This window comes from Homo sapiens, chromosome 4, assembly GCF_000001405.40.
Source record: "Homo sapiens chromosome 4, GRCh38.p14 Primary Assembly".
NCBI lineage: Eukaryota > Metazoa > Chordata > Mammalia > Primates > Hominidae > Homo > Homo sapiens.
Genome location: NC_000004.12, coordinates 57,223,985 through 57,233,208, shown reverse-complemented (window position 1 = coordinate 57,233,208; position 9,224 = coordinate 57,223,985). Strand labels below are relative to the sequence as shown.

General features: G+C 43.5%; 1 annotated feature.

Moving 5' to 3' along the window:
* Positions 7,965 to 8,699: an enhancer, noted in NCBI's record as "NANOG-H3K27ac hESC enhancer chr4:58090676-58091410 (GRCh37/hg19 assembly coordinates)". NCBI's record gives its function as "activates a minimal SCP1, AML or CMV promoter by ChIP-STARR-seq in naive and primed H9 embryonic stem cells {active_cell/tissue: H9 hESC(naive and primed)}" and the evidence as "EXISTENCE:reporter gene assay evidence [ECO:0000049][PMID:30033119]".

Sequence of the window (9,224 nt, the reverse complement as noted above, 5' to 3'; positions counted from 1 at the left end):
ACCCCTCTTTTTCCTTTGGTGTTCTTTTCAGTCAACTTGACCTAAAACTGGTTGGAAGGTGGAGTACAGAGTATCCTTAGTCCTGACCCTAAACCTTGTCACATATCCTATATTCCAGACAAGACCAGATGGGCCTAGGTTAGAAAATCTGGGTCCTGATTGGAATTCATCTCTGTACTTGAGGGAGCATCCCCCTGGTTGAAGCATATGCTTCAGCCTCTGAAGAGTGGCCCAGACTCTGCCCCCAGCCCATGGTTGACCTTGGGCAAGTTTCTAACCTCTGAGACTTAACCTATGTAAAACATAAGCATAGGCCAGCATGGTGGCTCACTCCTGTAATCCCAGCACTTGGGAGACTGAGGTGGGCAGATCATTTGAGGTCAGAAGTTCAAGGCCAGCCTGGCCAACATGGAGAAACTCTGTCTCTACTAAAACTACAAAATTAGCCGGGTGTGGTGGCGCATGCTTGTAATCCCAGACACTAGGGAGGCTGAGGCAGGAGAATTGCTTAAACCCGGAAGACAGAGGTTGCAGTGAGCTGAGATCGCACCACTGCACTCCAGCCTGGGTGACAGAGCGAGACTCCATCTCAAAATAATAAATAAACAAACAAACAAACAAACAAACATGAGAATAATAATTCCCGCCCTACATTTTTTGAAGGTTAGTTTCCAGAAGACTGATGAAGACCAATGCGTACAAGGGTGTTTCAGACATCTTGAAATACTCTTTGCCAGTGTGAGAAGGTGGTGGTGTCCGTATTCCAGTGGTTCTTATTTAGATCATTGAAGTAGATTGCTTTTATTCACTTATTTTTGTAATCTAATAAAGAGGAGCGAGAAAGAAAATCTCCTTCCTCTGAGAAAGAGAGAGATACACAAAGGTGGAGAAGAAAAAACAAAGAGGGACTGAGAAACAGAAGAAAGAGAAAGGCAGGGGAGAAATGGGACATAGTTTGCAAAGAAGGAGGGGAAACACAGACTAAGGAAATCAGAGACAGAAGGTACGAAATAGAAACAAGGTTGGAGAGAGAGCCAGAGAGAACCCAAGGCTGAGACTAAGTTTCACATCTATTTCATTAGATGCAACAAGTAAATTGCCTCCAAGATTAAGAACACACCTAATATTAATAACTTAATTATTTTTTCCTCCAACTGGTTGACCTTTAACTTCCTTCTCCTTAGCTGTTCCTCCCCACTGCACCACATTAATCACCCACATCAACTAATCACTTAAGTATGTACCAGGCAGGAGGGACTCTGTTTGCAAGAACCATATTGCCAGTGAAGAAGCTGTTTTAGTTGCACACAGGACCTGCCACTTGCACCTAGTTTGCGACTGGCATTTTTCCATGCTAGGTCACTTGCAGTGTCCACCTGCTAAGCATCCTACCCTCACTGCTACCCTTAACCCCTGCGCTGTCTCATTGCACACCGAATAGGCTTGATACTGAACTAGTTCAGGTAAATTGCTATGACAGCCCAAAAGTTCCAGCCAGTGCTCAGGTGAGGTGAGGTCTAATAAAAGAAAACTTTTTTTATACTTACACAATACTTCTGACATCACATGTGTTGTTTTCCACCAAGCAATTCTCTAGTTCTCTGCAGACACCAACTGGTGTCCTACAATTTAATTCTGACACTAACTACCCAAGGTTAGTGTAGATTTCACAGGTTAAGGACTCAATCCCACAAGACTTCCCCTACTTCAGATATTAATCCCCAGCCCAGGCCTCCCATAATTCTGGCCAATCTGCTATAAATTGGGGGTTTCCACAACCCCCTCCTGTGGTTTGATAGTTTGCTAGAAAGCCGATAGAACTCAGGAAAACAGTTTACATTCCTTACTCTTACTGCTTTATTATAAAGAATACAACTCAGGAGCAGCAAATAGAAGAGATTAGTAGAGTAAGGAATGGGGAAGGGGTATAGAGTCTCCGTGCCCTCTGGGGATGCAAAACCCTCCCAGCACTTCCATGTGCTCACCATTCCAGAAGCTCTCCAAACCCTATTATTGGGGCTTTTATGGAGACTTCATTATGTAGGCATGCTTAACTAAATCTTTGGTTACAGGTGATTAAACCAAGTTCCAGCCACTGTCCCCTCTCCTGTTTGGGGGTGGGGCTGTAAATTCTAACCCTCTAATCATATGGTTGGTTCCCCTGGTTTGTGACTCCTCCCAGAGTCACTGCATTAGCACAAACTTGAGTGTGGTTGAAAGGAGCTTATTATAAATGGATGTTCCTCTCACACCCAATCTCCCAAGAAATTCCAAGGGTTTCAGAAGCTCCGTGCCAGAAACCAGGGGTGAAGACCAAAAACATGTTTCTTACTGTATCACAATATCACAAATGCCAACCTGCCAAAGGCCCAAGAATGATACACCCACTTCTGACAAATGACAGTGATGTTCCCTTCTGCTTTACAGATAAAGAGCAGGGCCCACATTTGTGGTGTGAACATTAGTCCTTAACCCCTAATTGCCAGATGACTTTTCCAGCTGCCCACCTCCTGCTGTTGTGCAAATCATCTTGAAGACTGCTTATTCAGGGCACCCTCTTCATAGCCTCCACTGACATTGTGAAAAGAAAATAGATCTCAGGGCCCCAAAATCACTAAGCCAAGGGAAAAGTCAGGCTGGGAAGTGCATCAGGCAAATCTGCCTCCCATTTTATTTCTAAATAACATAGCTACAAAGATAAAAAACTACATACCTCCCTGATAATTTGCCAACAAGGAAATTCCTTGCAGACAAAGGACAGGTAGAACTCAAAGTCAACCCTCTGAGGCTCATCTGAGACAAATTCATATCTGATTGCTTCCTCTGCTCTATTGTTTATGTAAAAATGTAGATTCACTGAACCAGACTAAATTGTGTATTTAGTGGAAGGCTGATCAAGGACTCAAAAGAATGCAATTTTTTGTCTCTTATCTACTTCTAATGGAAGCCCCCACTTCAAGTTGTCTCACCTTACCAAACGGAACCAATGTACATCTTACACATATTCATTGATATCTCATGTCTCTCTAAACTGTATAAAAGCAAGCTGTACCCTGACCACCTAGGGCACATGTCATCAGGACTTCCTGAGGTCGTGTCACAGGTGCGTCCTTAACCTTGGCAAAATAAACGTTCTAAATTGACTGAGACCTATCTCAGATATTTTGGGTTCACAACATCTCTCTTAATCCCTAGATGGAAGTGAATAGCTACACACCTTATATTTGTCTCTTGCATTGCATCTTCCCTGTCACACATATCTTGCTCCTCACAGCACTCCTGTCATGCTGATAAGAAAGGTAAGGCTCAGAGGAGTCCATAGGTTGCCAGTTAGTACTCATGGAGCAGCTACTCTATGCCAGGTCCTGTCTGAGGCCATCCACAAGCCCCTCATGCAAGCCTCTGATCCCAGTGGCAGGTAGTTATGACTTACTCCCAATTTGCAGGTGTGGACACTGAGATTCAATGGGTTTAGTGGCTCAAGCATGGTCATGTGGTAGCTAGAAAGCCAAGGCTGGGACTGAGACTTTGAGTCTACAGTCAGGCATAGCAGACAGATCTTCCTACATTCATCCCTAAAGGATTTCAGATGTACATTTGTTTATGAAGAGAAAAAAGCTCATTGTGGGTAAATCAGGTTTGTGCTGGCCAGTAAAAGCTTTAAAAACAAAATTATAGTGCCTACAAAATTATAGTGTCTACGATGAACAATTTTTTTTATTTGCCAAATCCCCTCTCTGTGCCTTCAATAAAATGGGAGTACTGACTACTTACAGAAGAGGTTTCTAAGAAATCCAAAGCCTACTTGTACCAGTATCCTTACTACAGGTGTCCTGAACAATGAAAATTGCTTTCCTAAGTGAAACTAGACTCTAGTGGTTTGTTCTACCCTGTTATAGTCATCCAGTCAGTAGAAGCGTTTGCGCAACTTTTTTCAAAGTTCCGAAAACAACCCAAGGAGATAATAAAATACCATCCTCTGTATTGAAGTCTGAGATTGACTAAAGCTGAAGACTGCAGACTGTGGTGTTTGATTGCCCTAAATGAAAATGTTGGAAGATAAAGAATACCCTTGGCTCTAACCTTTAAGGAGTAAACCATGCCCAGAGGCAAGGAAATGCAGCCAGTCCAATATATTCTCCCTCTGCCAAATTCCACATTCTGCAAAAATTCTCTCTTCTTCCTAACTACATTAGTGAAGAAAACAATCACTAAGAAAACGCCAGTTCCATCCTAAGGGACTGAGCATGCAAAACAAGAACTCCAAGTAGTTCAGTTCCCAAGCTTAAATGGTTGACCCCTTATTCTCTGTGTGATATTCATGCATCTTGATGTTCAAAGTAAAAGCTGGTTCTAATGAACCATGAATTGTGTTGTTAGTCTCATATAAGGCAAGGCCTTTCTAACCACTTCCAACTGCAGGGTCTTTGTTTTAGGAACCATCTGGAAGATGTTTTTTGGATAGTAGCACACTCTGATAGGATCACTACCTCCCTCTAACACCTAAATACAACAATGATCCTTCATTTCCTTCTTTCTCTTCTTAACTGAATTGAATAACTACCCCATTTGACATCCATCATTTCCCATGTGACTTAAACAGAATCATTATAAAGAGTGTTATTTCTGCAAAAAATATGCAAAGGTTTCTTCAGTTTTCTCATGGATCTCTATTAATCCTTTGATATTCCTATCATGCTCACTTGAGGCATTTTTCCAGTTATTGGAAAATAACTCTGTGACAAATTTCCCCAAAACTTACTGGCTTAGAATAACACCTATTTTGCTCAAAAATGGGCAGTTTGAGCAGGGCACAGTGGGAATAGCTCACCCTTTCTCCACTCGTCCCAGCTGATGGGGTCAGTCTGGGAGCGGTGTCACCTGTCGGCTTGTTAACTCATACATCTGGCATCTGGCCTGGGAAGACTCCAACAGCTGGGGAACAAAACAACAAGCACTCCTTAAGCATCTTTCTCCATTTCTCTCTGATCTCACCACATGGTCTTCCCAGCATGGCAGCTTCAGGTGGGCCCCTGAAAGAGAAGGCAGACGCCATTTCACTTTTATGACCTAGCTTGTGAAGTCATACAGCATCACTTCTGCTAAACTCTCGTCTTTGGAAGCAAACTTCTAAAGTCCACCCATCTTCAAGGAGAGAAAGATTACGTTTCACCTTTTGTAGGAAGAATGTCAAAGAATTTGCAGAAATGTTTTAAATCCACTGAAAGCATCTATCACATCATATTTTTGATTATCTCTTCTGATTGTTAACTGGTTCAACTTCACCAGATCCATTTGCCAGTGGTTTTATGGAAGTTTGGCATGTCAGGTCCATGAAGGCTGGAATAGTCAACGTTAATCTCTAACACTTAGTACCTAGAAAATGGTACCCAATTTGGACACCCAAGTAGGTACCCAATAAGTATTTCTTAAATTAATGACTGATTCAACAGTTCCCCAATATCACTTTAATCACCTTCATGAAATCTTGCTTCCTTTAAAAAATTTGCAGTTTTCCAAGAACAAACCAAACCCAAAGCTAGCAGAAGAAAAGAAATACAAAAATCAGAACAGAACAAAATGAAATGAAAACCAAAAAAAAAAAAAAAAAAAAAAAAAAAAAAAAACCAGTGAAACAAAAAGTTGGGCAGGGCATGATGGCTCATGCCTATAATCCCAGCATTTTAGGAGGCTGAGGTGGGTGGATCACTTGAGGTTAGGAGTTCGAAACCAGCCTGGCCAACATGGTGAAACCCTGTCTATACTAAAAATTCAAAAATTAGCCAGGCATGGTGGTACACATCGGTAATCCCAGCTACTCAGGAGGCTGAGGCACGAGAATGGCTTGAACCTGGGAACCGGAGGTTGCAATGAGCTGAGATCATGCCACTGCATTCCAGCCTGGGCAACAGAGCCAGACTCTGACTAAAAGAGAAAAAAAAAAAAAAAGGTGGTTCTTCGAAAAAGTAAACAGAATTGGTAGATCACTAGCTAGATTAACCAAGGAGAGAAGATTCAAATAAGCTCAGTTAGAAATGAAAATAGGGCATTACATCTGACGCCATGGAAATACAAAAGATGGTTCAAGACTACTATGAAAAGTTCTACACAAATAAAGTGGAAAAACTAGAGGAAATGGATGAATTACTGGAAACATACAACCCCCCTAGCTTGAATCAGGAAGAAATAAAAATCCTGAAAAGACCAATGACAAGCACTGAGATTGAATCGGTAATTTTTAAAATCTGCCAACAAATAAAAAGCCCCAGGACCAAATGGATTCACAAATTCTACCAGACATTCAAAGAAGAACTGGTATTAATATTACTCCTTCTCAATAGTTGAAACTATTACAAACTATTCAGAAGGAAGGAATCATCCTTACTCATCCTATAAAGCCAGTATCAAAGCCAGGAAAGGACATAACAAAAAAAGGAAATCACAGGCCAATATTCCTTATGAACATAGATACAAAAATCCTCAACAAAATGCTAGCAAAATGAATCTAACAACATATAAAAAAAATTCACCAGGCTTAAGTGGGTTTCATCCCAGGGATGGAGGGATGGTTCAATATACGCAATTCAATAAATGCGATTCATCACATAAACAGAATTAAAAACAAAAACCATATGATCATCTCAATAGACGCAGAAAAAATTCAATACAATGAACATCCCTTTATGATAAAAAGCCTCAATAAGCTAGGCATAGAAAGAACATACCACAAAATAAGACAAACCCATATATGACAAACCCATAGCCAATATCATACTGAATGGGGAAAAGTTGAAAGCATTCCCCCTAAGAACTGGAACAAGACGAAGATGCCAGCTTTCACCACTTCTATTCAACATACTACTGGAAGTTCTGGCTGGAGCAATCAGGCAAGAGACAGAAATAAATGGCATTCAAACTGGAAAAGAGGAAGTGTAACCATCGCTGTTCACTGATATATGATCATTCACATAGAAAACCCTAATGACACATCCAAAAGACTCCTAGATTTGATCAATGAATTCAGTAAAGTCTCAGGTTACAAGATAAATGTACACAAATCAGTAGCACTGCTATGCACCAACAACGAGCAAGCTGAGAATCAAATCAAGGACTCAATTCCTTTTACAATTGCTACCAAAAAAATTATATAATACTTAGGAATATATTTAAGCAAGGAGTTGAAAGATATTTACAAGAACTACAAAACACTGCTGAAAGAAATCATAGTTGATACGAACAAATGGAAATACATCTCATTGCTGATAGATTGGAAGAATCAATATTGTGAAAATTACCACACTGCCCAAAACAATCTGTAGATTCAGTGTAGTTCCTATTAAAATGCCAATATCATTTTTCACAGACTTAGAAAAAACATCCTAAAATTAATATGAAACCAAAAAAGAACCCAAATAGCCAAAGCAATCCTAAGCTTGAAAAATAAATCTGGAGCCATCGCATTGCCTGACTTCAAATTATACTACAAGGCAATAGTAACCAAAACAGTAAGGTACTGGTATAAAAGTGTATACATAGACCAGTGATACAGAAAAAAGAACCCCAAGATAAAGCCAAATACTTACAACCAACTGACCTTTTTTTTTTTTTTTTTTTGAGACGGAGTCTCGCTCTGTCGCCCAGGCCGGACTGCGGACTGCAGTGGCACAATCTCGGCTCACTGCAAGCTCCGCTTCCCGGGTTCACGCCATTCTCCTGCCTCAGCCTCCCGAGTAGCTGGGACTACAGGCGCCCGCCACCGCGCCCGGCTAATTTTTTGTATTTTTAGTAGAGACGGGGTTTCACCTTGTTAGCCAGGATGGTCTTGATCTCCTGACCTCATGATCCACCCGCCTCGGCCTCCCTTTGACAAAGCATACACAAACATAAACTGGGGGAAGGACACCCTACTCAATAATCAGTGCTAAAAAATTGGCAAGCCACATCTAGAAGAATGAAACTGGATCCCTATCACTCACCATATAAAAAAATGAACTCAAGATGGATTAAAGATTTTTTTTTAATTTATTTTTTTATTGATCATTCTTGGGTGTTTCTCGCAGAGGGAGATTTGGCAGGGTCACAGGACAATAGTGGAGGGAATGTCAGCAGATAAACAAGTGAACAAAGGTCTCTGGTTTTCCTAGGCAGAGGACCCTGCGGCCTTCCGCAGTGTTTGTGTCCCTGGGTACTTGAGATTAGGGAGTGGTGATGACTCTTAACGAGCATGCTGCCTTCAAGCATCTGTTTAACAAAGCACATCTTGCACCGCCCTTAATCCATTTAACCCTGAGTGGACACAGCACATGTTTCAGAGAGCACAGGGTTGGGGGTAAGGTCACAGATCAACAGGATCCCAAGGCAGAAGAATTTTTCTTAGTACAGAACAAAATGAAAAGTCTCCCATGTCTACTTCTCTACACAGACACGGCAACCATCCGATTTCTCAATCTTTTCCCCACCTTTCCCGCCTTTCTATTCCACAAAACCGCCATTGTCATCATGGCCCGTTCTCAATGAGCTGTTGGGTACACCTCCCAGACGGGGTCATGGCCGGGCAGAGGGGCTCCTCACTTCCCAGTAGGGGCGGCTGGGCAGAGGCGCCCCTCACCTCCCGGACGGGGCAGCTGGCCGGGCGGGGGGCTGACCCCCCCCACTTCCCTCCCTGACGGGGCAGCTGGCCTGGCGGGGGCTGACCCCCACCTCCCTCCCGGACGGGGTGGCTGCCGGGCGGAGACGCTCCTCACTTCCCAGACGGGGTGGCTGCCGGACGGAGGGGCTCCTCACTTCTCAGACGGGGCGGATGCCAGGCAGAGGGTCTCCTCACTTCTCAGACGGGGCGGCCGGGCAGAGACGCTCCTCACCTCCCAGACGGGGTCGCGGCCGGGCAGAGGCGCTCCTCACATCCCAGACGGGGCGGCGGGGCAGAGGCGCTCCCCACATCCCAGACGATGGGCGGCCGGGCAGAGACGCTCCTCACTTCCCAGACGGGGTGACTGCCGGGCAGAGGCTGCAATCTCGGCTCTTTGGGAGGCCAAGGCAGGCGGCTGGGAGGTGATTGTAGCGAGCCGAGATCACACCACTGCACTCCAGCCTGGGCACCATTGAGCACTGAGTGAACGAGACTCCGTCTGCAATCCCGGCACCTCGGGAGGCCGAGGCTGGCGGATCACTAGCGGTTAGGAGCTGGAGACCAGCCTGGCCAACACAGCGAAACCCCGTCTCCA